Here is a 27,598-nt window from a genome sequence, read left to right on the forward strand (position 1 = left end):
CTCTCGTCACCCAGGCTAGAGTGCAACGGCACAATCTTCACTCATTGTAAAACCTCCGTCTCCCGGGTTCCAGCGATTCTCCTGCCTCAGCCTCCCGAGTAGCTGGGATTACAGGCACCTGCCACCACACCCGGCTAATTATTTTTGTATTTTCAGTAGAGATGGGGTTTGGCCATGTTGGCCAGGCTGGTCTCGAACTCCTGGCCTCAAGTGATCCGCCCGCCTCAGCCTCCCAAAGTGCTGGGATTGCAAGCATAAGCCACCGCGCCCGGCCTCCACTTTCTGTGGTGTAAATATTCCTACCATGGCTGATTTCCTCTGGGGAAGCCATGTCCCCTCCACTTCTACCTTCATGGTCTTTGCTTGTTTATTTTCAAATGTGGCCCAAATCCACCCTGAGGCAGGCGCAGTGGCTCACGTCTGTAATCCCAGCACTTTGGGAGGCCGAGACGGGCGGATCACCTGAGGTCGAGAGTTTGAGCCAGCCTGACTAACACGGGGAAACCCCGTCTCTACTAAAAACACAAAAATTAGCCAGGCATGGTGGCACACTCCTGTAATCCCAGCCACTCGGGAGGCTGAGGCAGGAGAATCGCTGGAACCTAGGAGGTGGAGATTGCAGTGAGCCAAGATCATGCCACTGCACTCCAGCCTGGGAGACACAGCCAGACTCCATCTAAAAAAAAAAAAAAAAAAAAAAAAAAACCAAAAAAACCCACCCTGAGTTTAAAAGAAAAAGGCTAAGAAATGCTTGCTGGGCTGTCTCAGGGGTGGCAGTGGAGCTCCCGTGCCTCCCACAGATGAGGACGTGGAGGCCCTGGCCGAGTGCTGAATGCAGGTTGGGGGACAGGGCTGCCGGCCTCTGTAAGGATGGGGACCCCAGACCCACCCGGTGGAGCTGGGGCTGAAGGCCGTGATAAACACAGCCTCACCCTGGCATTGCCCACCTCCACTGGCCACCAGCTTTGACGGACAGCCCCACTGCCACTGCCCCTCTCCAGGCAGGCCACATTCACAGGTGTTCTGTACAGAGAGCAGAAGTTTGAGAAAACGTGACCCACTGAACAGACACTTGCTGAGGCCCGGGGGCTTCATGTGTCAGGCCCAGAGGTGGCCACAGGCACAACACGCGTCCCTCAGCCTTGCCACCTCTGCTGCCCTCCAAGGTGCCCTGGGTCCAGCTGGCCAGAAGCACTGCTTTCTGGAGCAGCCACTTATGCTTTTACTTTTTTCTCTTCTTTTTTTTTTTAAGACTGAGTCTTGCTCTGTTGCCCAGGCTGGAGTGCAGTGGCACAATCTTGGCTCACTGCATTCTCCAGTTCAAGTGATTCTCCTGCCTCAGCCTCCTGAGTAGCTGAGATTACAGGCATCTGCCACCATGCCCGGCTAATTTTTGTATTTTTAGTAGAGATGGAATTTCGCCATGTTGACCAGACTAGTCTTGAACTCCTGACCCCAAGTGATCCGCCCGCCCAAAGTGCTGGGATTACAGGCGTGAGCCACAGTGCCCGGCCCAGCTTTTTCATTTTGAAATCAATACAAGTTTTTACAGATGTCTGCAAAAAATATCCATATTGATGGATCCTGGCTCCTCAGAATCTGAGGTTTTTACAAATGTCTGCAAAAAATATCCATATTGATGGATCCTGGCTCCTCAGAATCTGAGGTGACAGCAGCTTGCAGAGGACACTGCTCCCCCAACACTGCCTTCCAAGGGAGACATGCCCTACCCCAAGGCCTCCCTTGTCCCCTCCCTCCTCTGACAGTCAGGTCCAGGGGGTCCTGGAGAGGGCACTGGCCCACCCTCCACACATGTTGCACAGTGCCCTGGGAATGAGGAAGGAAGGGCAAAGGTTAGGGAAAACCAGACGTCAGTTTCTTGACCAGCCACAGCCGGTGCAGCGCGGTTATTTATAGCCCTGGTGGAGCGCCCATAAATCAAGGCTTTCCCCAGCAGCGCGGCTGTGAGGGCTCCGAGATGATCTCATGGTGCCCCTCCCTTGAACCATCCCAGAGAAAGGAGGCCTGTCACCTTCAAGGACCAATGCTTCTGCCGGGACTCAAGCAGAACCTGTTCCTGCTGCTGCAAGGTTTACAGGCAGCCTTGGGGACAGTCCGTGCAGAAATGTCAGGAGCCTTTTCCTGCATAAGGCATCTCAGAGCTTATAGCACCTCCTTGGCGGTGGCCGTGCTCGCAGCCTGATACATGGGACCTCTGTCTCACTTGCAGTGTGCACCGCAGGTCCTAATTCCTTATCTGTTCCAACCACAAAAGCTTCCACTGCTGGATGGAGCCCTGTTATCATTCAGGCTTCTGAGCCACCTGGAAGGCAAAGGCCTCTCTGTGAAAATGAAAACTTGGCTTTAAAAAGCTGGCATGGGCTCAGCCATGGAGTTGCTTAGATGTAGTTCACAATCTCGCAGACCCACGGCAGGATTCCACCCAGGAGAAGGTCCTGGAGGTGGCCATGGGGCTCAGCAGAATGAGCCGGGAGGAGCAGGACTGTTGACACGAGAGCAGGGGTCAGGCTCAGTGCACAGGTCCCAGTGTGCAGAGCTCACCCGGCCCCAGCTTTCATCACCCATCTGAGATCGGCCTCCTTCACTCCTGTTCTCTGGGACTTCCTTGTGTGTTAGAGACTCGAGCAAGACCCTTTCTTGTCTATCCCCGGACGGACCCGCCTTTCCCGCATCTCTGGGGGTGAGGTCGGCTCTCGTTCAGGCCTGCAGGGTCCCTGGTGCCGCAGCCCCTCTGGTTGGAAGGCCCCCTGCGTGCAGCCCCGTCCTCCAGCCCCGCTCGGCTCTGAATGAGTTCATTATGTCTCAGCGCGCCCTGGCCGCCAGGCTGGCAGTTCTTCGGGCTGGCGGGGCTCGGGAGCTGTCAGCCTGCCAAATCCAGTTGTTTGACTTCATGTTTCAAGGCCAAATCCTTTCAGGAAAGTTCTCTCCATCCCACCACTCCACCGCCCCCCGCCCTTAGAAAAATAAATGCGTGATTGACTGGCTTTGCAGGTTTTTTATCCATCGTTCTTTCCAAAGAATAGTGTGAACAGCTCATTCGATTCGTTCATGTGACGTCCTCCCTCTCCCAATCCCTGTCTCTCTCTCTCCTTCCACAGCCACATGAAATTGAAGTGGGAGAACATGGTGTGTGAGCATTATTGGGGGTGGGGTGCGGAGCAGGCACTGGCTTTGGTTGAGGTCTGCAAAGGAAAGCACCCCCACTGCCAGGCTGCTCAGGAGTGGCTCCCACCCTCGACTGCGGGGAAGTGCTGGAACCCTCCGCACGAGGGCAACCTTTCTTGGGCTCTGAAGGCGCCTCTCATCCTCTGAGCCAAGAAGACTTCTGACCCAGAATTCTGAGTTGAGTTCCGACGCAGGCGTGGGCGATGGTGAGCAACTCCAGGCTACCCCGAGAAAGCCGCTGTGTGACCCCATTAGGGGACTTGGCTCTCCTGCCAAGCCCCCACCCAGCACCTGTCCCTTGTGTCATGACTGGACTTGTTACTTCTAGCCCAGGAGCTCCAGGTGAAGGGGACTGTGTTGGTCCTGTCTGCCCAGGACTCTCCCCACCCGCACAGTGTACCTGTCCCACAGTGGCACCAACAAGGCTCAGCTGAGCCCTTGCCAGAGGAGACACGGTGGGCACCAGCCCCAGCGCTGCCACCTGCCTGCCTCCTCTGCCACCGAGGGAAGCCATGTCGCCTTCCTGAGCCTGCTTCTCTGTCCACAAAACAAAGACTAGATAATTAGAGTGCACACTTGGAGGGACAGGATGGCTTCGTATCCATCTGGCTGTGCCCTGTAACTCAAGGGATGGGACTGTGTCATTGGTAAACACTGCAACAGGCCTCCTTTCCAGGAAACAGGATCCCTGTCTCAGACAGAAGCAGTCTCGCCCATCCTGGGGCCTGAGAGCATCATTCCTTTGTGAGACTCAAATGTGAGGAATTCCTGTTTCCTCAAGTCTGTGTGGGGAGTGCAGAGCAGCCCTCTGAGGGGGTAGCGTGTGCAGGAAATAAGCCGGGGGGAAGGGGGCACCGCGGGTGGGTGTTAACTGCTGCTTCGGGGTCCAGTCCTGTTAATGAAAGCAGGGGTGAGGCAAGCGGGGAAGACTCTCTGTACCTGATCAGTGGCATGTGTGTGGCTCCAGCCGGCATGGCCTGAGCTGCCGGTGAGGGAGAGGCCTCAGGGAGAAAAGACAAAAGCTGGGGTGCCCCTGAAGGTGGGGCAGAGCTGGGGCAGTCAGGGGCTCTTCCACAGGTGCAGGCCTGGTGCTGGAGGACACAGTCCATACCACCTCCAACCCCCACCACCTCCCCTGCCATGGACAGTGTGGGGCAGGCTCCTGAGGATGAGGCAGCCTGACCCCTACCCCTGGGCTGTCCCCCCGACTCCTGGTTTCTCTGGAAGCCTGGGGTTCCAGGCCATGCAGGTAGAGAACAACAGGTTTAGGACAAAGTCATTGTGGACACTGAGGCCCAGAAAAGGGACTTGCCCAAGGCCACACAGCAGGTGGCCAGCACTGTGTCCGTGTCTCTGTTATTCCTTCCTCTGCTTGCTTTGGGTTTATTTTGTGCTCCTTTTCTACTTCCTTAAGATGGGAGCTTCAGTGATCAATTTCAGATCTTTCCTCTCTTCTAACAAGCATTTGGTACTATGAATTTCCCTCTGAATCCTGCTTCAGCTGCATCCCAACTTCTGATACCAGGTAGGAGTAATTGTTCTAAGCTCCGCAGCTGACTACAGAGAGCGGCCACATTTGAGAAACATTCTCATCTCTCTGATCTTGGGTCTCTGACAATGGAGCTAGCAACACTTCCTGGTTTTAAGGGCTCTGAGGAGCAAATTAGACTGTCTGGTGGTGAAGAACTTTGTTTAGGAACAATTTAAGATGCCAACAGGTTCATCTGCTCTCCTGCCTCCTTCTCCCCACCTTGTAACACACCCTAGACAAGTCAGCACTCAAGTTTATATGGACAAATAAGCAAGTAAAATTAGTTAGGAAATCAAATATTGGGGTTGGGGAACAATAAGAGAAGGCAAGCCCTATGGGATGGTAAACTGCAGTATAAAGCCCCATTTGCTGGCACAGTGTGGTCTGGCCTGTGACTAGGTGAGGGACAGTGCGGGGTGGCCTGCCTGCATATGCCAGGTTCTGTGTATCACATCTCTCACCAGGAAGGCAAAACCTGGCAGATGGCACCCGGGCCTGATGGCTCCTCAACCCTCTCAGCACCCCAAAGAGGGAAGTCCCATCACCCTCACTCACCCAGCCCCGGGCTGGCCCTGTCAGCTCTCGAACTGCAGCATACCCGAGCTCTTAAAGCACACTGGACCTAGGGCTCAGGTTTGAGCTTTCATGATGAGACCCTGAGGTCACTGGCGGGGAAAATGAGTCACTGGGGCATTCCCCGAACTTGGGAAAAGCCCTGACCCCAGAATCCTGAGCCTAAATTGCTGCCAAGTTCCCGATTTCCCTTCCAGTCCTCAGTTTCCCCTTCTCTCCGGCACCCTCCTGAGGACCACTGAGCCCCAACCACCACCATGCCCATGGCTGGTGCCCAGGAGGTGGGAGCTGTGGAGCTGCCTCCAGGCCTTCCCGGAGGCCCCATGGCTGTCTTACTTGGTTTGTGGCTTCCCAGTAAACGGTGGGACAGGACCAGGGTCTGAGGAAAAGCAAAGCAGTGTTGACAGAGTGTCCTGGAGGGCAGCTTGTCTCCCTGGCCTGGAGATGAAAACTGAAGAAAACAAGATTCCGTCTAGGAATCGTCCAGGGCGCGGCAGCCCGCCAGGAGCCCGGGCAGCTTGGATGGGGTCCCTGTGGGCACAATCGGCCCAGTGTGGGGCGCACCGCCCCAGGCAGGCTGGCGTCCCGGGGGCCAGAATGAATGGACCCTCACTGGGCCGCTTTGACAGTTTATGAGGTGATGACGTTGCAGCTATGATTGATGAGGTGGCCTCAGTCGGCGTTTCGGGGAACCGGGTACAAGTTGCTAGGGAAATACAGGGGGAGGGTGCTGCCCTCCCCACTGGCCCGCTCTGGGTCCCTGTGCTATGCCTCAGTCTCCCCATCTGTGTGGAGGAACTGATGAAGACAGCACATGCCCCCTGCCCTGGTCCCTGGATTGCAAGTCCAGACAGAAGAGAGCGTCCTGGGAAGCCAGCTGAGAGCACCTCTTTCTCTTTGGGTCCTGCAGCCCGTGGGTGGCAGGGCGGTAACCCCATCTGCCCAGAACCAGGCTGCGCTCTCGGGAGGGAAACAGACTCTTATCCTCTTAGGTACAGCCTCCCTGGCCGCCTCGGATGAGCATCTGCCCCTCCCGGGCCTCAGTTTCCACACCTGAGATGGGAGAGGTTGCATCCTAAAGGCCCTCCATCTCTCAGGTTGGGGGATCACTCTTGTTTCCCTGCAGTTGTTTCCAGCATTAGAGTCACACTGGGGTCCTTGTTCTAGCCCCCGTGTGTTGGCTGCATGACCCGAACTTTACTCCCATGTCCTCCTCTTGGGGGTGTGACATGAGGTCTTCCCCAAGTGGCCCCGAGTGAGGCACCACCATGGACCTGATGGGCAGATCCCCCAGGGCACTCTATCCAGAGGGTGGTGGACCCAAACGCGACGTCCCCAGTGGCGGTGGCTGAGGAGAGGGGTTGGGGCGAGGACCAGCTCTGGGCAGTCTCCAGGTCATGCGCGTTTGACGCAGGAGGTTTTGCCGGCGCCAGGGGCTCCCTCGGCTGACCGAGGGTGTCCCTTACTCCATAAGGTACTGATATGGTCTGCGGAGCAGGTGGCATTTGCCATGCCTGCCCTGCTTGGGTATTTGGCCCCAGGGCCAGGGCTGTCCCTCCCACAGCTATTGAACACCAGGTCCTTGCTGCGTCTGGCTGGGCTGCAGAATACCCTTGACCTTTCAGCATCCTCAGTACCTCTGTGGAGTGCTGCCATGACCAAACTAGAGACTGTTATTATTACGCACATTTTAAGACAGCATCGGCCGGACGTGGGGGGCTCCCACCAGCACTTTGGGAGGCTGAGGCAGGCGGATCACTTGAGGTCAGGAGTTCAACACCAGCCTGGCCAACATGGGGAAACCCTGTCTCTACTAAAAATACAAAAAAACTAGCTGGGCATGATGGTGCATGCCTATAATCCCAGCTACTCAGGAGGCGGAGGCAAGAGAATCACTTGAACCTAGGAGGCAGAGGTTGTAGTGAGCCAAGATCATGCCATTGCACTCCAGCCTGGGCGGCAGAGTGAGACTCCATCTCAAAAAAAAAAAAAAAAAAAAAAGACAGCATCACTGTAGCCAAGGGAACTTAAAAGAAAAAAGTGCATGTTTAGACAGTTGTTCATTTCCTCCAGTTTCCTGCCAGCCCCCTTCTGTAGCTGTGGGCACGTGCACATATAAGTCTTCTCTTTCTCACCCTGCTCATTGTTCATAGCTGCATAATATTTTACAGAGCAGATAAACTCTGCCGGCCTTAACTACTCCCAGGGTCGAACGTCTCCTTTTCTATCGTAAATATCTCTGCAATTCCTATAGCTTTTTTCCTTCAATTCAGTAAACTTTTTTTTTTTTTTTAATTTGAGATGGAGTCTCACTCTGTCACCCAGGCTGGAATGCAGTGGTGTGATCTCAGCTCACTGCAACCTCTGCCTCCTGGGTCCAAGCAATTCTCCTGCCTCAGCCTCCTGAGTAGCTTGGAAAACAGGCATGCACCACCACACCCGGCTAATTTTTGTATTTTTTAGTAGAGAGGGGTTTCACCATGTTGGCCAGGCTGGTCTTGAATGCCTGATCTCGAGTGATCCACCTGCCTCAGCTTCCCAAAGTGCTGGGATTACAGGCATGAGCCACCGCACCCAGCCCCTTTGCTCTTCCTTTGTCTTCTGCCATGATTGTGAGGCCTCCCCAGCCATGTGGAGTTGTGAGTCCATTAAACTTCTTTCCTTTAAACATTACCCAGTCTCAGGTATGTCTTCATTAGCAGCATGAAAACAGACTAATACACCATGTCATTTAATGAGGCTGGGCCTGCCTCTTTCTGATGGAATGAACTCTCCCCAGGTGACAGCCTCTGGTCCCCTCTGCCTTTGGAGTGACTTCTCCTGCATGGGGGTTCTGGGCAGGGTTGGGGGGTGAACACTGGAGAGGGATCAGTCCCAGCTCTGTTCTTCCCCACCCGCTGCAACCTGGTTGGGGACGCGAGGAGGGCACCCAGCAGGCTGCCAGGGGGAGGAGGAGGGACTGCAGTCTGGGCCCAGAGCCCGGTTGTCCCCCATGGAGCCACACAGCAGGCACCTCAGAGTTTGCATCCATTGGAGATGGCCAGGAGTCTGCTCGTGTGGGAAGAATGGCTTCTGAGCGCCAAGGTAGCCTGTGCTGGAGCCTTGGCTGCCATAGAAGGCCATTCACGTCCCTCACACCCTGGCCTGTGCTGCTGGGAAGGCTGTCACTCCTAAACAGTTATCTGCTTCTGTGTTAACCTACAGGGATTCCCTCTTTGCTTTGGCTGCCAGGGAACTCAAAGCTAAGTTTTTTCGCTCACATTCCCAGGCTTCTGGTGTAGATATCTCCTTTCTTCCTTACTGTGGTTTCTGAGCCATCTGGTGTAGATATCTCCCTTCTTCCTTACTGTGGTTTCTGAGCCACCCTGCAAACTTCCTCTGCATCTGTCCCAGTACAAATATCACTGTGTGCCCTTCTAGGCTATCTGGGACACTTAAAAATAAATAAATAAAGACATCTGTCTGAGGCTTAACTTGCATATAGCAAAGTGCATGAATCTGAAGTGTGTGGCTGATGAATCTGTACACACCGCTCTCCCTGCACAGCCACCCAGATGAAGACGAGGAGCACCTCCAATACCCAAGCCTCCCTCCACCCAGTCAACACTCTTCTCCAGAGGGAGCTAGCCCGTGCCTTCACCCCCGTCTTCTGCCTGACGGTAAACTTGAGGTGAATGGGCTCCTACCCATGAACACCCACCGTTCATTTCATCCGTGTTGTTCTGTGCAGCCAGACTCCATCCTACGGCATCCGTGGGTGATGTTTCATCACGAGGCTGGACCACGATGTGTTTATCATGTCACTGTTGCTGTCACATGGGCTGTTTCTGGCTTGGGGTCCTTATGAACAGAGCTGATCAGAACATATCTGTCCATGGCTCTTGGTGGACATAGCCTCATTTCATGTGTGTGACTCAGGAGTGAGGTTGCTGGGTCCCGCGGCATTCATGTGTTTAGTGTAGGAGACTCTTGCCAAACATTTCTCCAGAGTGTCTGATGTACCATGTTGCGCTCCCGCCAGCCTCGCTGAGTTCCCATAGCACCATGTCTTCTGCAGCACACGATGTGGCCGGACCTCTCCACGCTGGCCATTCAGGTGGACGTGGAGCGGTGTCATTTCCTTCCTGAGGGGCCTGCATGAATCCCTTTTAGGTGGAACACACACAGAGTGGGCCGGCGCTCATAAGCAGTCCCGTGTGAATCCTTGGAGAGCTGTGGAGGTAGCACAGCTGCATCTCTAGGTTGGGGCCACTCTTTTCTTGGAACAAGAGCCCTAAACGTGGGACCCTAAACAACACCCAGGGAGGAGCAGCCTGGCCTATGAGCAGGGGGACACCATGAAGCTGGGTGGACGGGTGGGGAGGCCCGACTTTAAGGGACCTGCTTCCTAAGCAAACAGGCCAGGACAGAGGCTGCAGGTATAAGCCCTGCCCTGCCACCATGATGGTGAATATGAGGTGTCAACCTGATTGGATTGAAGGATGCCTAGATGGCTGGTAAAGTTTTGTTTCTGGCTGGTTAAGTGTGTCTGTGAGGGTGTTGCCAGAGGAGACTGACTTTTGAGTCGGTGGACCGGGTGACGGAGACCCACCCTCCGTGTGGGTGGGCACCATCTCATCGGCTGTCCTTGTGGCTGGAACAAAGCAGATGGAGGAAGGTGGGAAGACTTTGTTTGCTGGGTCTTCTGGCTTTCATCCGTCTCCCGTGCTGGATGCTTCCTGCTCTGGGACATCAGACTCCAGGTTCTTTGACCTTTGGACTCTGGTTTAGCTGGAGCTCTCGGGAGGTGTCGGCTTCCCTACTTTTGAGGATTTTGGACTCGGACTTGGCCATTACCAGCTTCTCTCTTCCCCAGCTTGCGTACGGTCTGTCGTGGGACCCGCCTAGTGATCGTGTGAGCCAGTTCTCCCTAATAAACTCCCTTTCATGTATAGACATGGATCCTATGAGTCTTTTCCCTCTGGGGAGCCCTGCCTAACACAGTGGCATAGAGCTCCAGGCAGGCCCCTCACCTGGCCTTCAGCTTCAGTTTCTTTGCCTACTGGGCTGAATATTGGTGTCACCACCCAGGATAGCAAGTCCCCATCAGTGTCACTGCCACCTGTCGAAGAGATCCCCCAGCCCAGCACTCGGGTCTGTGAGTGGCAGTGGAGATGACACTAGGCTCTAAGTAGTGGGGCTGCGTGACTCCAGCGCCCCTAGGACCAGCAAGGGCACCCAGAGCACTGTGGGAGGACTGGTGCCGCCTCCCTGCCCCCCTGCTTTCTCCTGGGCCACTGGGCTAGACATGGGGCCTCCCTGCCCCCATGTGGTTTGGCCTGAAAAAGAGAGGAGGTGGGGTGGCACTTCTGGGGCAGCCCAGAGTGAGTGCCCTGCCCTGAGCCCAGCGTGTGCCCTGCCTGTGCCCCTGGGTGGGGGGTGCATACAGACCTCGGGGGGATCTGGCCGTTGGAGTGCGCACTGGGAGGGACGGAGTCAGCTCTTTTTAATCTAAACACACACCAGGTGCTTAACGTGTTTTTATCAAAATATCAAGCACAGCTGCAAGAGGCTGCTCTGCTCCAAGGCCCTACGCCCAGGCCCGTCCCTCTGCCAAAGCGAGCCTTTTAGGTGAGCCCTGCCGGCCACCTGCTAGCCCAGGCCCCGGCTCCTGGTGGGCCCTGGACCAGGCTGCAAGCATATCCAAGTGCATGGCAGTGAGACGTCCAGGCCTCCCAGCCCCAACTCTGAGCCTCCGTTGGGTCAGTGGTAAGATGGGGCAGTGGCACCTACCTCCCCGGCTGCTGTGAAAACCAAGTGAGCGGAAGCATGGCAGCCCCTCACCAGGTCCCCAGTGGGAGGACTCTCAATGATTGGCACTGCCAGGAGTAATGTTATGAGAGGAGCGTCCCATCAGCCTGGAGGGGACACAGGCTGGGTCAGCACCCACAGGGGCTTCCGCTTCTCTGTCTCAGGGGGTCCAGGGTGGCCCCTTGCCACTGGTCCCCAGGCACAGCCGCTACACAGGTGCCTCTGCAGGGTCTGGGAGTCAGCTGTCCAGGGCCTGCTTGGCCACCGCAGGGCAGGAGTGTGGCACTGTGAGCCTGGTGGCCTGGCTGGGCGTGGCCTTGAGGTTCTATTGATAACCCCATGGGGAAAGCCCCCCTGAGGTGCTTGGGCATCGGACCTGCCCACCATCTCCTGAGGTGGGGCCTGCTCTCCAGACAGTCAGGTCAGCATGAGTTCCCATGAGGCCAGGGCCAGCACGAGGAATTGCTGGGAGCGGTCCATCCACCCATCCGTCCGTCCATCCATCCATCCATCCATCCATCCCTATCCACCTGTCCACCCTGATGCAGTTCCTGCCATCCACGTGTCCATCTGTCTACCCGTACACCTGTTCATCCCCATCCATCCATCCCCCTGTCCATCCCTGCCCATTCATCCACCCTGATGCAGCGCCTGCTACCCACCCTTCTCTGTCCATCCCCATCCATCCATCTCTGTCCATCCATCTGTCCACCTGTCCATCCCCCTATCCATCCCTGTCCATTCGTCCACCCATCCACCCTGATGCAGCACCTGCCATCCACCCTTTTCTGTCCATCCCCGTCCATCCATCTCCATCTATCCATCTCTGTCCTTCCATCTCCATCTATCCATCTCTGCCCATCCATCCATCCATCCATCCATCCACCTGTCCATCCCCATCCATCCATCCCTGTCCATCCATCCACTCATCCACCCTGATGCAGTGCCTGCCGTCCACCCTTCTCTGTCCATTCCCATCCATCCATCCATGTCCATCCATCCATTCATTGCCCATCTGTCCACTCACCCATCCACTCATCCCACCCACCCATCCATCCACCCATCCGTCCCCAGCCATCCATCCTCCTGTCCATCCCTGTGCATGCATCATCCTTCCAACTGTCTGTTTGTCCATTCCCATCCATCTATCCACCCATCCACCCAGGCGAGCACCTGCCATGCCCACGACCTGCACCATCTCGGTGAATCTCCATCGTAGCCCCAGGAGGGGCTCTTTTCAGCTGCACTTTCAGGATGAGAGAAGGGAGGCTCTGAGTGGCCATTTGCCCAAGGTCACACAGAGCTCAGGGCCAGCGCTTCCCATGGCCAAAGCCCAGGCCCCCTCTGCCAGTCCCGCCTCCAGGCTTGCAGGTGGAGCAGCCAGGGGTTCCGTACTCCCTGCCAGGCAGCTGCCAGCCCTCCCCGCTCCCCTCTCAGTTCCTCAGCCTGGCTATGGGAGGCCCAAGTCCCACGTGTCACTGGAATTCGGGAGGCCTGGCTCTCAAAGCTTTCTGTACAAAACAAGGAGAAAAAGAGAAGCCACTTTTGCTGTCTGGACATGCTGTGGGTGTCCTGGGGAATGTGCTGGCCCACTGCTTGGGGCCTGACTTGGAGTGCCCAGGAGCTGCGTCTGCACTGTGGCTTGAACCGAGTGTCGTGCTCTGTGGACAGAGCCATCCACTCTGGGGGTGCTCGTCCCATGGCACTGTCAGCCCCCATTCTGGAAGGTCCCAACTGGGTCCCCCAGGCCTGTGTCCCAGAGACCTTCCAGGTCTTCATTCACTGATCATGCATTTATTTTGGGGGTAGGATAGGTCCTGAAGACCACAGGGCAGGGATCTCTGAGTTGGGGCTTTTGCGGAGTGAGGGAGTGAGAGGGTGTTCCAGGCAGAGGAGGTGGCAGAGAAAGGCACCAAGTGAGGCAGGGGCAGTTGGGGACATGAGTGCTCGGGAGCGGGGAGAGGGGGCAGCTGGTGGGTAAGCAGAGGCCAGCTCCAAGGCCCCCCTGTGGGCCACATTAGGGAGACAGGGTCTGGCCTTGTTGGTAGCGCGGCCCCTCGCAGTGATGGGTCCCCTGTCAGACCTCCAGGATCCTGGGTTGCTGGTTTGGCGCAGCCCCGGCTTCTGTGAGCTTTTGTTTCTGTTACTGGCACCTGCAGCTCTTCCTAGGCCCCTGCCCTGGGGCACTGGTGCCTGCTTCGCCAAAGGCACAGAGGGCTGCAGGCGACTGGGGCAGGGTGGGGGGCTCGCCTCTTAGGGCTCAGCTTCACTGGCCAGAAACAGGGCTGGCTCGATCTGGGTGTTGGCCTGGGTGGGGTGGCCAGCATGCCCACACCTCTCAGTCTGGATGTGGGGAGAGGTTGTTCCATCCAGGGCAGTTGGTCTCCAGAAGGAAATTCTCTGTATCTGGGTGCTGCAACCTAGGTGCCCGGGGTCTCACGCAGTGGGGCCTCCCCGGAGGAGGTGAAGTGCATGTGGCCCCTCGTGCTGGATGGAGCTGGACTCTAGGGAGGACCAGGAGGGTGAGCTCAGGCCAGGGCGCCAAGGCCCTGAGCCCCAGGGGCCTGCCTGTCTGCCCATCATTCCTCCACTCATGGGGAGGGACTGCCCCCCAGCCCAGATTTCTAGGAGGGCCGAGGCTCACAGGAAGCCAATGCCAGGCGATAACCCACAGTCCCCAGTGGTCAGTAGGAAGGAGGCTGCCTGCTTGTGTGCTCATTAGGAGCCAAGGCCATGAGGCCACTAACGGAATGTCCCTGATCTCAGGGATCTCAGTGTGGAGGTGGCAGCACACAGGTAACCAAACAATTGTGGCAGATTGATGGGTGCTTTGATGGGGTCCACACAGTTACCGTGGAGTGCAGAGTGGGCACCTAACTGAGGAGGCAAGGGTTGGAGGGAGGAAGGTTTCAGGGAAGACTTCCTGGAGGAGGTGACTTGTTCTTAGGGAATGAGGCCCAGGGAGCTAAAGCTTTAGGGCAGGGCAGCAGATTCAGAGACACCCCCAGGGGTAGGGGGAAGTGCACTAGAGTGACGTGTGCCTGGCGTGGGAACAGGGAGACATTAGAGAATAGTGGGAGTGTGGCAGGCTGGGCCCGCCTTGCCCCTTTCAAGGAAGCAGCTGCCGCGTCACACGCTGCAGCGCAGTGCTGCCCATGGTTTGTCGGCCCATATTGTGGGATCTTTCAGATTTTCTCAAGAAGCCAGGTTTCCAGCTCCTAGGTTTGAAAAGTTCTATGTGCGCTTGACCGGGGGGCCTTACGTACGTGAATTGGGTGAGGGCCTGAGACAGGCGGGTGAGCACTTGCCCCACACTCCAGCCAGGATTGGGGGTTCAAGGTACCGCATTTGCCACGTGAGGGAGTCTCTGGAGACCACCAACCCGCTGGTGGGCGGCCAAGCGTCACCACCAGTCCCTCTCAGTGCGTCCCACCTCTGTTCTCAGCCCCTGCGGTGCCCGCAGTCAGTGGGGCAGTGAGAACCGCGCAGGAAATAGCTGGCGCCATGGTGTCGGTTCTGGTTGACAGAGTGCCACCTGGCTAAACCCAGCCGTAAATAAGCCCCGTTTCCTCCCTGTGGACAGAGACTGGTGGGTGCCAAGGTTCACGGCAAAAACCCTTCCCCGCCAGGCCCCACTGCTCTCTGCCTGGCTGGCACACGCCCTTGCCTCAGGCCTGGCTCCCCGGGTCCTGTTGACCACCAGGCTGCAGATCCCAAGGAATGCAGGCATCTGGGTGGCCCCACGTGGAGCACCAGCCATGGGGAGGCCGTGGGCTACCAGGCCCTGCGTGCACTCGCAGCATGCACCACTCCTTCTCCAGGTCCCGTTGACCTCCATGTGTGCTGTGCCCCGTCCTCCGCTGCACTGCCTCTTCGTAGTGCCCCAGCTCCATCCGGGGGTGGGTGGGAGTGGAGACCCCTGCCTACAGGCCTCCGGGTCTAGCCAGAGTCAACCAGCCCACCAGAGACACCCAGATGCAGGCTATGCCCCACGTGCCCAGGGAGGATCTGCTGACGTGAGCCCAGATTTCGATTCTTGTGCGAGGGAGACGAACCAGGTTTAAACCCCAGCTCTGCCACTTCTGGCTGTGACTTTGAGCATGGCTGTTCATCTCTGGGGGTCTCTCTCCTCATCTCAGAGAAGCAGATCATGGTGCGCACCCCATGGCGCGCTGTGCAGAGCACATAGAGACGCCACCCACAGCTGGCTTACTGCAGAGGTGTGGGCCCATTGTGGTATCGCTGATGTCCTGGAGGCCACAAGTCTGCTAGCTAGAGGAGCCTCACCTGCATCCCGGGGCCTGCCCACTGGCTGGTGGAGAGCTCTGGGTTGTGGGCAGCAGGCAGGCCTATTTCCAGTGAGTCTGTGGCTCCTGGGGGTGTGTGAGACCTTGGGCAGATCCCTTCCTGTGCCTCGGTTTACCCACTAGGGCTCAGAGCCCTGGGGGACTGGCTCAGTGAGTGCCTCCTTCTGCGAGGAGAGACTTTTGTCCTTACTAGCCAGAGGACAGGTCAGCCGGGGCAGGCTCTGGGCCCTGGGCACCACCCACTGGAAGGAAAGGGGGTTCAGTTAGCCCAGCCCTGCCCCCCAATGGAAGAAAATTGGGGTTCAGTTAGCCCAGCCCTGCCCCACCCCAGCTCTTCACACATCCAGATCCAGATGGGGGCCAGACCACCAGGAGACTGTAAGGATCCAAGGCCGAGGGGCAGGAGACGCAGTGCGCCCCTCTCCTATTTCTGGGTTGCAACCGCCCACACATGTGCACACAGGGAAGATGTCTCTTTTGGTTGGGGGGCACAGGACCCCACCTCACTCTTAGCTCTGAGACACCCTTGTCAGGCCTCCTGGACAGGTGGGAGGGACAGGGCAGGGTGGGGTGTGGCCAGCTGCAGTCCCTGGGAGGGGTACTGGGGCTGGGCCAGGCCAGGGCAGGACAGAGTTGGGGAATCCAGGCCCCTCACCATTGCCCTGGCTCTTTGTATGTAGTGCTGCCTGCGGGCGGCAGCCTAGCTGGACACCTGCAGTGCGCTCATGCCCAGCCTCTGTGGGTGTCTGGCTCACCCCACGTGGGAGGAAGGCGGGCACGGGTGGTTTGGGCTGGGCAGGCCCAGCCCGGGTGCACAGCTTTCTCATCCACACACACATTCCATGTGTAGGGGCTCAGGGGGAGGGGTCACCTCCTCCCTCCCCACCCCTCCTTGTTACAGAGGAGCAGATGGCCAAACGGATGGGGGACAAGCACCTGACAGGGCCACTGCTCCTGCTCTCAGCTGGGCCAGTGGGAAAGGGAGCTTGGCACCTCCAAGGGAGGTCCCAGCCAGGGGAAGTGTGTCCCCATCCCTGCTCTGGTCCCCAGGCCAGAGAGGTGAGGGACCCAGAGAGGCCCAGGATGAGGACTCCTTCAGTCCTGGGTTTTTGTTTGGATTTTTTTTTTCTGCCAAGTGACTTCAAAGCCGCCCGAGAAGGTCCTGTATGTGTGAGCAGGTTGGGCAAGGGGAGGGCGGGTCTCCAAGCTGGGAGCCTCCTCGCGGCCCTCGCCTCGGCACTGATGTGGCCCTGGACCCTCCGGTCCCTCCAGGCCACCCTTCGTGCCAGGACCCAGCTGGCTTCAATGGCAGGAGGTGCCCTGGGCTGGAGGGTCCCCACGCTGGGCTCCGGGGCTCCAGGTTGACTCAGCAGTCCCCAGGCCTGTGGGCAGAGCTGGCCTGGGAGGACACGGGCCTGAGGGCTGAGCAATCCCTGAGTGAGAACAGGTAGCTGAGGCTGGAGCCTGTGTCCCCCAGGCAGCTGCTAAGGCCCGGGCCTGGGGCTGGAGTGCTGGGCTCAGGTGCCATGTGAGCTCTTTGCAGGCAGGGACCAGGTCAGAGTCCTTTGTGTGCCTCTTGACCCCCAGGTCCTGGGAGAAGAGGGGCTTGGGAGGCCTTGGCTGGATGCACAGGCTCCATGGGAAGGAGCTCCTGCTCGGGTTTCTTTGTAAGCAGCACGACATGGCACCTTCCCAGAGGTACATGGGTCTGGGCATGTCATTCCCCGACCTGCTTCCAGAACCCAGGGGACGGAGGTCGGAGCAGCCTGCCTGAGATCTGTGGCCATCTCCACTCCGCCACCCAGCTACCCCGTAAGGAGGCCACCGACCCTCGGGCACCTGCCAGGGACCCAGCTCAGGCCAGGTCACGGGCTGGATGTGGGATGTTCTGGGCCTTCTGCCCACCTCACTGGGCCCCAGCAAGCTGCTGTCCTGAGGGTGGCCGTGCTGGGCCAGCACGTGGACAGCAGGGAACCCCATGGGCACAGGCCTAGTGTGTGTGATGTACCGGTGCAGACCATCTGATAAGCAGCCTTCAGAGAAGCTGCGGGTGTGCAGGTGGAGGCAGACCTCCCAGCTGCATCCTCCAGGCACTTGCCAGGGTCAGGCTCTGGTGAACACCCTTCTAGAAATAACCCCCCAGGCCCCCGGGGGTCTTGGGCTCCTGGGGTTCTGATGGAAGGATGCCCCTTGCCCGGCCTCACTACCTCCACCTCATGAATCACCCTCTGTCCTTGTCCTGCAAGTCTGTCGGCACAGCCGAGCTGGCGTCACCCTCTGATGCCAGTGCCCAGATCCCTGAATTCACTGGGCAGCCGCCCCCTGCACCTGGCTCCCAGCCACTGCCTTTCCAAAGCAAATGGGGACAGGGATACCTGCCCCTCCCTGGGTAGGCAGCTGTTGCGGCCTCCAGTTGTGAGAGTCTCTGCCCCACCCTGCCCCTTCCCCTGCCCCTGCAGGGTAGAGAGGAGGCGGGTGGGCCACCGACTGGGAGTCCCGGGCAGCTCAGGTCCCTCAAGAGCCCCTCGGGGAGAGGCCGCACCCGTCTCCCTTGGTCAGTGTTCCCCAGGAGGCGGTGCTGGCCTGCGTGTGCCCTGGAGGAGGCGGCAGGGAGACTGGCCTCATGGGGCTCTTTTGCTGGGGCCTGGCCACCATTTTCCTTCGATTGGTACAAAGACTGTCCCTGTGAAGCTGGCCAGGCCCCAGGCACAGAACCGCCTTGTTTTCTGCCTCTCACTCACCCGTTCCCTGCATTCGGCTGACAGAGCATGAGGGGGAGGAATCACTGATGACAGGCACTGGCCTGCCCAGCTGGGGGCCTTTGTTTATTCATTTGGTGGGCACTTCCTGGGTGCCTGCTCTGGGTCAGGCCTGTGGGGGGGACCACCGAGGGCAGGAAACCTGGCCTGTCCCTCCAGGAAGCGAAGTCAACACTGGCACCTGCAGATGAAGTGGCAGAGCAGCCCCCAGCTTTGATGGCATGGGGTGGTTGGAGGGCACATTCTGCATGCTCAGAAGAGAGAGCAACTCGCCCTGTGGAAGGAGCATACAGTGGGAGATGGGGACAGGTGAGTGGGGTCTTGAAACGTGAACAGGAGTTTGCAGGTGGAGCAGGTTTCAAGAGCATTCCAGGGCACAGCATGGGCAATGGCAGGGAGAGCTGGGATGTCTGAAGAGCAGCAGCCCAGACACTGAGTGGCTGGCGAGGCGAGGGAGGTCCGCAGGTGGGGCCCAGTCAGGATGGACTCATCTGCCATGCTGAGGAGCCAGGCTATGATGTGGGCAATAGGGAGCCACAGCAGTTTACACAGGGGAGGCGGGAGCAGCTGAGCATTTAGGGAAGCCACTCTGGCTGCAAAAGAGGAGAGGGGGCCAGGCAGGAGGGAGAGCCAGTGGAGGGGGAGGGGGAAGGGGAAGGGAACAGGCTTCAGCAGAAGACCTCCTGCCTTCAAGGGGCCCGGGTCACCCTGTGGGTTCCGGTGGTTAAGGCCAGCCTCCTGGTCCTGCAGCCACATGCCTCCCAGCTGTGTGCCTCCGCTTCTACCTCCGAAACCCGGGCAGCAGGACCCACCCTGCAGGCTCCTGCGCAAGGATGGGGGAGGTACCTGGAGGGCCCACCCCACATCAGAAGCAGGTCCTCAGCCAGAGACGCCCAAATGCAGCCCGAGGGAGGCTGCCCCCAGGAGAGGAGAGGAGAACCCGCAGCCGCCCCGCAGGCGCCTGGGGAAATCACTCACTGCTCCCACCTCCCAGCCAGGCCCCGAGGGCCAGGCACTCTGGCTTAGTGAAGAAGCCACCCAGCAAAGGCCTGGTGTCTCCACACCATTCTCGGGGGGACAGCAGCAAGGACGATGGACGGGAGCAGTGCTCAGCCTTAACGTCCCTGTTTCCGGAAGCGTCCCTGCCCCGCTCAGTCCTGCCCCACTCCCTCTCCCATCAGTGCCCTCAGACTCCAGGCCCTTTTCTTTCTTTCCCAGCAGTGCTGACAACTGTGAGTGTGGAACTGGACTGTGAACCCTGGAGGGCAGATGGTGGAGGTGGGAGGGGGCAGGGCCAGCGCCAGGGTGAGCTGCAGGGTCCCCAGGTGCAGGGGAAACGCCAACTTCGTGTGCAGTCTTGCCTCTTTTGTTTCGTTTCAGAGTGGCCCCCAGAGCCAAGCCCTATGCTACCTTACAGATGAGGAAACTGAGGCTCGGGCAGGTGAAGAGACCGGCCCTGGGCCATGCACTTTTTTGGGGACAGAGCAGGGTGCTCAGCTGTCTGGGGGCCTGGGCTGGGCCTGGGGCAGGGGGAGGAGCAGCGCTGTGACCCCCACGGGGAGCCGTCAGCCAGGCCCGTAGCCAGGGAAGGGCGGAGGGGCTTAACGCAGGCCCACATGGCCAGGACACAGAACCGTGGGGGCAGCCCCAGCCCTTCCCTGCCTGTTACAGGCCCCTGCCCCTGTTCCTGTGTCCCATGCCTGTCCCCTCCCTCCATGTGTCTGTCTCTACTCGCCTGCCCTCTCTCTGCCCTCTTTTCTCTGCTTCATCCTCTTTTTCCGTTTCTGCCTGTCTCATGGTTCTTCCTGTCCCTGCCCTCCCTCCCTCCGTGTGTGGCCGTGTCTCTCTGTCTGTCTCTTCCTCCTCCTCCAGCTCTGTCCCAGTAGGGCCACTCCGGGCAGGATGGTCTGCGGCCCCTCCTGCTTCACCCTCTCCGCTCTGTACCCACTGCCGAGGACACACCTTTGCTGGGTTTCTTGGTTCAGCTTTTGTACCGTGACATCTCTGAGGTCCACAGGTCACAGGGCACTGGCCAGTGTGGGGCAGGGACTCCTCCTGCCCAGGCCATTGGACAAAGCAGAGCTGCTTCAGGGGCTTTGGGGCCACCAGGCCAGGAACAGGTCCCCTCCTGCCTACCCCAGCTCCCTGGGAGACACAGCCCACAGCAGCGTCACGTAATTAAGACATAAAAGTCCACGATTTCCGCTGCGTGTGGGCAAACACCGGCCGGGTGCTAATGCAATCCTTTCTTTTAGTGGATTCTTGAATTTAAATGATATGTAATTAAACATAATTAGCCACGGACGCCATTCGGCTAGGTACACGTGCGGAGTGGGGCTGGCCGGATTCTCATTACAAAGCGTCATCTTCTATGGGGAGACCTCTTGTTCCCTCTCGGGGCTGGTTGCTTTTGCCTGGACAATAAGCCTGGCCCCAGGGCACCTGGGGAAGGTGTCCAAGGAGGGGGTCCTGGGGGCCAGTCCCCCGGGGGCTCGGATGATGAATCATGGGCGGTGTTTGCTGGAAGAATTTTTGTTCCGCTTCGGGCAACAAGGAACCCAAACCTCTCACTGTTGTGGGGAGAAAAGTTGGAAATCAGATGGGAACTGGCTGCGGTACCAGAGAGGACGTCAGACCCGGGCCGCGGCCTCAGCCCCCGACTCCTTGTAAGCGTGGGCTGGGTGCACACGTGGCGGCTGCGAGCAGTGCTTTGGAGCTCATCTCCCCAGACCCTAGTGGGAGCTGAGGGCAGCCTGGCAGGGCTGATGCAGGCCCATGCACACAGGCCAGGCAGAGGTGAGACCAGGGAATAGAAGCGTTGCAGGGGCAGAGGGCAGGAGGGGGCAGAGCCTCGGCGTAGGAGTGAGCCTACTGGTCCTTCCCGCAGGCACCCTCCCTAGTGCCAGGTCTGCTGGGACTCCAGGCTGTTGGTATGCCCCCTAGGGTCCTGCTTGGAGCCTTTCTGACCCTCCTGATCCAGTGCCTGTGCCGGGCTTCCTCCCCACTCACCCTGTCCTCCCTGTGCCCCATGTAGCCCACACATCAGTGTGTCCGTCCGTCTGCCTGTCTGCCCCCCACCAGCCTGTGTGCCCAGGGGAAGGCTCAAGGCCGGTCATGCTCTACCTCCCTGGCCAGCCCAGCCCCAGCCCACGGTGCATTCCCTGGACAGGATTGCTGAGTTTTCCATTTTAGCCACAACAGCGCCCACACCCGCGCCAACCAACCTGTCCTTGCCACGAATATTGGCTCCTGCCCTCCTCATGGGAGCCCATGGTGCATGCTATTATGACCTCGGTCTAGAGGCAGGGACACCAAGGCACAGGGGCTTAGGGAAGTTGCCTGAGGTCACGTGGCTGGTAGGGGGCGGAGCCAGCTTTATCCTCATGGCACAGATGAGGAAACTGAGGCAGAGAGGTGTTTTGCCAGGGGGCTGATTTACTGAGCTAGCCAGCCGTTCTGGTTTTGTCTCTGTCTCGCTCAGAGGGACCCCCACCCCACCCACCTGCCTACCCAGCTTGCCGTGTCCTCGGCCAGGGCCAGCAGTCTCAGAGGTAGAGCTGCTGAGAGAAGCCTGTCATCTGTCCTCCAAGAGGGATCTGAGTAAGCCGGAGAGCATCAGCAGCCTCAAGGGGACCTTGGACCCCTGCCCACCTTTCATTCTGTACCAGGGCAGGGTGTGTCTGCACAGCCTGGAGCCAGGTGTGGCTGGCAGCCCCAGGAAGACAGGGCCAACCCTGCCCAGCCCAGAGCAGCCGCATCTCTGCAGCAGCGGTGCACTTGAGTGGAAGCACTGGCTTCCCAAGAGTAAGAGCTTGAGAAGGGGCCTGTCCAGAGCCCTGGGGGACGGTGGACAGGCCAGCCCAGGGGTCCAGGCCTTTCCTGTAGGGGCCGAATCGTTACCACTTCAGGCTCTGCCAGCTTCCATTTGGTCTCTCTTGCATATTACTCTCTTCTTTTTACACCCCTTTAAAAATATAAAGACAGGCCGCAGGTAGGATTTGGCCCTCTGGCCTACACAATAGCAACTGTGAGCATTATATGTGGCTTCTCTTTCTTTTTGAGACTCTCATCTGTCACCCAGGTTGGAATGCAGTGGTGTGATCACGGCTCACCACAGCCTCAACCTCCCAGGCTCAGGTGATCCTCCCACCTCAGCCTCCCAAGTAGCTGGGACTACAGGCGCCTGCCACTACACCTGGCTGATTTTTGTACTTTTTTGTAGAGATAGGGTTTCACCATGTTGCCCAGGCTGGTCTTGACCTCCTGGGCTCAAGCAATCCTCCTGCCTTAGCCTCCCAAAGTGCTAGGATGACAGGCGTGAGCTACCACGCCCGGCCCATATGTGGCTTTTTAATTAAATTTTTGAGGTATAACATTAGTAAAGTGCTCTAAAAGTGAAGAATAGGATGTTAGCCCCACCCAGGTCAAGATCTAGAACATTCCTGGCACCCCTATTCACCTTTCCGTTAGGAAGCTGCCGTCCCACCCTCTGTCACTAGTCTGCCTTTGCCAGCTCTGGAGCTCTCTGTAAGTCAGTCCTGCTGTGTGTATTCCTCGAGTCTGGCCTCAGTTGCTCTTCAGGTCTGGGGCTCACCCCCATTGCCGCGGCAGGAACTCACCCCAGATTGAGCCGTTGTGGAGTATTCCAGTGTGCAATTCTGCCGTGGTCTGTTTTCCCATCCTCCCCCTGGCGGGCATTTGTCCAGTGTTTGACTTTTGCTATTGCAACTAAAGCTGTGTGGAGCAGTGTGCCTTTGGTGAACGTGCCTTTGGTGAACGTGAGGATGCATTTCTGCTGTGTACATACTTAGGAGTGGGACTGCAGGGTTGCAAGTGGATATCAACACGCAGTTTTCCAATGTGGCCCGTACCATAGAAGGCCTCGTGGTGATGCCGAGTCCATATTCCAGCACTGACGCAGGATTGCGTGGTGCCAAGTCCCTATTTCAGCACTGACGCAGGATCACGCATGTCTTCAATGCCCCTCTCCTAGATCGTAGACACCCTGTGTGGCATCACAGAATGACACACACAAGACAAGAGGCCTCTAAAGCCCTGACACTGACACGGGTTGTTCTTGCTGGGGTTGCTAATGGAGCGGGTGCGGGTGTGGGTGCGGGTGAGGGTGCTGATGGAGCGGGTGAGGGTGCGGGTGAGGGTGCTGGTGGAGCGGGTGAGGGTGCGGGTGAGGGTGCTGGTGGAGCGGGTGAGGGTGAGGGTGAGGGTGCTGATGCAGCGGGTGAGGGTGAGGGTGAGGGTGAGGGTGCTGATGGAGCGGGTGAGGGTGAGGGTGTTGACGGAGCGGGTGAGGGTGCGGGTGAGGGTGCTGATGGAGCGGGTGAGGGTGCGGGTGAGGGTGCTGGTGGAGCGGGTGCGGGTGCGGGTGCAGGTGAGGGTGCTGATGGAGCGGGCGAGGGTGAGGGTGAGGGTGCTGATGGAGCGGGTGAGGGTGCGGGTGAGGGTGCTGGTGGAGCGGGTGCGGGTGCGGGTGCAGGTGAGGGTGCTGATGGAGCGGGCGAGGGTGAGGGTGAGGGTGCTGATGGAGCGGGTGAGGGTGCGGGTGAGGGTGCTGATGGAGCGGGTGAGGGTGCGGGTGAGGGTGCTGATGGAGCGGGTGAGGGTGAGGGTGAGGGTGAGGGTGTTGACGGAGCGGGTGAGGGTGAGGGTGAGGGTGCTGATGGAGCGGGTGAGGGTGAGGGTGAGGGTGCTGATGGAGCGGGCGAGGGTGAGGGTGAGGGTGCTGATGGAGCGGGTGAGGGTGCGGGTGAGGGTGCTGGTGGAGCGGGTGAGGGTGTTAATGAAGCGGGTGCGGGTGAGGGTGCTGATGGAGCGGGTGCGGGTGAGGGGGCCGCATACTCATCCCCTTGCCTGGTCCCCCAGGCTCCTACTTTGGTGTGTGCTCATTCAGGAGCAGCAGAGTGGCCGTGCTTGGGACGGCCAGCCAAGCGATCCCCACTGGTACTGGCATCTGTAGGTGCCCCTGCTTGGAGCGGGTGCTGGCAACTGCCCTTTGCTGGAAGGGGCAGCAATGTCCAGCAGTGGTGGAAGCTCTCGAAAGAACACAGGGCTGGGAGTAGAACTCAGTCAGATCCCAGCTCTGCTCTCCCTGCTGTGTGACCTATAGCAAGTCTCTGAACCTTTCTGAGCTGTTTCCTCACCTGTTCAAGATGGGGGTGACCACTTCTTCCTTGGAGGATGGAAGGGAGAGGGATGTGAGGCTCGTGAGTGCTGTGCTCGGAGACTGTGCAGGAGGGGAAGCGGCCGTAGCCCCATACAAGCAGGTGGGCAAGGAAGTGGGGGCGCTGGAGGGGCTTAGGGGACAAGGGGTTCTGTCCTTGGGACCTGGACAAGAGCCAAAAGGTATACCCTCACAGTCACAGGGGAGCCCACACTGCCCTCCCCTCCCAGGGACTGCCCCTGTGGCCCCCGTCCAGGTCCACAGCCTCAGCAGTCCCTGAGGGCCAGGAGGTAGCCTCCAGGCCACTGGGCTGAGAACCCTTAAAAGAAAAAGCCCCCCTGCCCATGACAGTCATTTTAGGGTCAAGAAAGCCCTTTGCAGAAACCAAACCCTTTGAAAGGGCCAACACGGCTTTTAGATGACGTGAGAACCAACTTCAAGCACTTCCTCTCAGACCAGGGTGGCAGCTTCCAAAGTGGGGGCGCTGCTGCCGGGAGACTGTGGTTTCCCTGCTTCTCAGGGAGCTTGGGCCAGGCCGTGGGGAGATCCAAGCAACATGTCCCTCGGTAGTGGTAGGTTTGCAGACGGGCCGCTCCCCACTTCCTGCCAAGCTCCAGCGGCACCTCTGTGGGTGCAAGGCTGTGGGGAGGGGCCTTCTGGCTCACAGCCCTCCAGGCTGCCCACAGCCCCTAGGATGAGGTGCCACTTCCTCAAATGACTGTCAAGACTGGGATGGGGGCCGGGCACGGTGGCTCACTCCTGTAATCCCAGCACTTTGGGAGGCTAAGGCGGGCAAATCACTTGAGGTCAGGAGTCGGAGACCGGCCTGGCCAACATGGCGAAACCCTATCTCTACACTAAAAAATACAAAAAAAGCCGGGCGTGGTGGCGGGTGCCTGTAGTCCCAGCTACTCAAGAGCCGAGGCAGGAGAATCGCTTGAAACTGGGAGGCAGAGGTTGCAGTGAGCCAAGATCGCACCATTGCACTCCAGCCTGGGCAACAGAGTGACACTTGGTCTCAAAAAAATAAAAAATAAAAAAGGCTCTGGATGTCTCCACGAACCCACCTGACCCCTTCCTGCTCCTGGGGCTCTCCTCTCCCACCCACGTGTCTACCCGTAGCTCCTGCCTGCCTTCAGGACTCAGCCCACAGCCCCTTCCACAAAGTCCCCTGGCAGGGCCCGGAGGCCTCTGCACTGTCTCATGGCTTCATTCCTGTGTCCTCAGCATCCAGTGAGACCTCAGGAGATGCCTGGGGAATGGCTGAAGGCTTTGGAGAGGTTGCTGCCCCCAGAATCCCAGCCAGAGGGCAGTTTATCCAGGAGCCCGGTGCCTCCTCTGTTGGGTGGGCGTGGCCTCAGAGGGCACCAACCAGAAGACACATGCTGTCACTGACATGCGGGCCCCCAGCGTTAGGGCAGGCAGGAGCTCCGAGTCTCTACCCCAGCTGTCCCCACAGTGCACATGGACTAGGCTCCTCCCACGGGGCACTAGGCCAGGCCAGGGGTGTGGGGTGAGCCCCTGGGGAGCCCAGAGCAGGGTACACTCATGTCCCCACCATCCAAGGTGAGATGTCTGTGCTGGAGGCCCAGAGGGAGCTGGGCCGGCTGTCACTCCACCACAAGGCTGAGCAGGCTCCCCAGTGGGAGACAGGTTTGGGGAGGTGTCCAGGTTGAGGGCACAGTCAGGAGGGGCCATGTGTGCCTGAGTAGGGCAGGGGGAGGAGGGGGATGGCCAGTGGCCACGGGCCAGGCTGCCTGGCAGGACCTGGAGGTTTCCTCAAGCTAAGGCCAGGCCCATGTTAGATGCTGGGAGGGTGGGTGTGGCTGCAGAGGGGTCAGCGTGGGGGCACTGACTAACCTCCGGCCATCCTCTCCAGGCCCAGTGACGAGCACCATCCGGAAGTGAAGGCTGATGGGTACGTGGACAACCTCGCAGAGGCAGTGGACCTGCTGCTGCAGCACGCCGACAAGTGATGGCCTCCTGGGAGAGCCCCGCCTCCTCCACCCCTGCCTCTCCTCCACCCCTGCCTCCCCTCCACCCCTGCCTCTCCTCCACCCGCCCAGGAGAGCCCCACCTCCTCCACCCCTGCCTCTCCTCCACCCCTGCCTCCCCTCCACCTGCCCCAGTGCCCAGACCAACCAAGGCCCTGACAGCCCTGCCTTCTGCCCTCTGCCCTGCATGGGCAGGCATTTGTTCCCTACCTGGGTGGCCTGCTCCCCTGCCTGGGCCCTGACTTCAGCTCCCTGTAGTGAAGTCCAGGAGGGTGGGACAGGCCTGTCAGGCCTCTGGGAATCTCCCAAATCCCAGAACTCACCACTCACCATGGGCCTTTAAATGCAGTAAACTCCACCTAACCAGATTCAGGGGCACTATGCCCACTGCCTCCTCTTCAGACTCTTTGCATTTCAGTGAAGAGCCTGGAAGAAACCCAGGGGCCTCCTATGCACAGATCTTGCAGCCCAGAACCAAGTCAGCCTCCCTGCGACTGCCCAGGCACACTGCCCACCACCCCACCCCCGAAACAATGCCAGCCCGCTGCTTTTTCTATCCTCCCAGTCACCTTTGCAGACAAAGACCAGGGGCAGCTCCCGAGGGCACTGTGAAGGCTCCCATGCCACACAGTGAGAACTGTAGCCTCTGCGTCCAAGGCACACAGGGTACTTTCTGGACCCACTGCTGGACAGACTTGAAGGTGTCATGCCCGGTGTGTGCAGGAGGAAACTAACAGTTCAGTAAACTCTGCCTTGACCAGCAGCCTTTGACTCAGGCTTTGACTGCTAGGAAGAACCGTATGGGGGAGGCCACCAGCAGGGTCTGGGCCACTGTCTCTAGTCCTGCCTTATGCTTGAGCCACTGAATATCAGAGGTGCGAGGGACAAGGGCCCTGAAACACCTCACCTGCTCCAGCCCCTTCACTTAGCAGATGGGGAAACTGAGGCCCAGAGGGGCCAGTGAGCTGCTGTTGGCCCTATCTGGAACGAGGCAGTCCAGGGCAAACTTTGGCACTGCCTTCCCTAACGGAACAGCCTGTGGCCTGGGGGTGGTGAGCTTTGCTTTCCCGACCAAGGGCGCGGCGGCCTTCCCACAGGGGCCCTGGGAACAAATCACTCATAACTGAAGTTTCAGGTTTCAGAATCAGTCAGCTGAACAGATAACTTGATTGCTCCATTTCTCCCCAAATCAGTTCAGAAGCTACTGATAACCCTTGAGAGACTGCTTCTTTATTTTATTTTATTATTATTATTTTTGAAATGGAGTTTTGCTTTCGTTG

At 58.7% G+C, this 27,598-nt stretch overlaps 1 protein-coding gene across 4 annotated transcripts in view, besides 3 other annotated features; it reads left to right on the top strand.

Moving 5' to 3' along the window:
• LHPP (phospholysine phosphohistidine inorganic pyrophosphate phosphatase) overlaps positions 1-27,081 on the top strand; it is a 152,319-nt gene extending 125,238 nt beyond the window's left edge. For all 4 annotated transcript variants that reach the window (XM_005270026.4, NM_022126.4, NM_001167880.2 and 1 more), the window contains one exon: positions 26,204-27,081. In XM_005270026.4, coding sequence (XP_005270083.1) covers positions 26,204-26,212 — 9 coding nt within the window. In that variant the 3' untranslated portion in view covers positions 26,213-27,081. The remainder of the gene's footprint in view (positions 1-26,203) is intronic.
• Positions 18,837-19,781: an enhancer, noted in NCBI's record as "H3K4me1 hESC enhancer chr10:126294466-126295410 (GRCh37/hg19 assembly coordinates)". NCBI's record gives its function as "activates a minimal SCP1, AML or CMV promoter by ChIP-STARR-seq in naive H9 embryonic stem cells {active_cell/tissue: H9 hESC(naive)}" and the evidence as "EXISTENCE:reporter gene assay evidence [ECO:0000049][PMID:30033119]".
• Positions 24,863-24,912: an enhancer, noted in NCBI's record as "active region_4168". NCBI's record gives its function as "activates an Ori minimal core promoter by ATAC-STARR-seq in GM12878 lymphoblastoid cells {active_cell/tissue: GM12878}" and the evidence as "EXISTENCE:reporter gene assay evidence [ECO:0000049][PMID:35858748]".
• Positions 25,872-26,382: an enhancer, noted in NCBI's record as "H3K4me1 hESC enhancer chr10:126301501-126302011 (GRCh37/hg19 assembly coordinates)". NCBI's record gives its function as "activates a minimal SCP1, AML or CMV promoter by ChIP-STARR-seq in naive H9 embryonic stem cells {active_cell/tissue: H9 hESC(naive)}" and the evidence as "EXISTENCE:reporter gene assay evidence [ECO:0000049][PMID:30033119]".
• Positions 27,082-27,598: the final 517 nt, after the last annotated feature.

This window comes from Homo sapiens, chromosome 10, assembly GCF_000001405.40.
Source record: "Homo sapiens chromosome 10, GRCh38.p14 Primary Assembly".
Classification (NCBI taxonomy): Eukaryota; Metazoa; Chordata; class Mammalia; order Primates; family Hominidae; genus Homo; species Homo sapiens.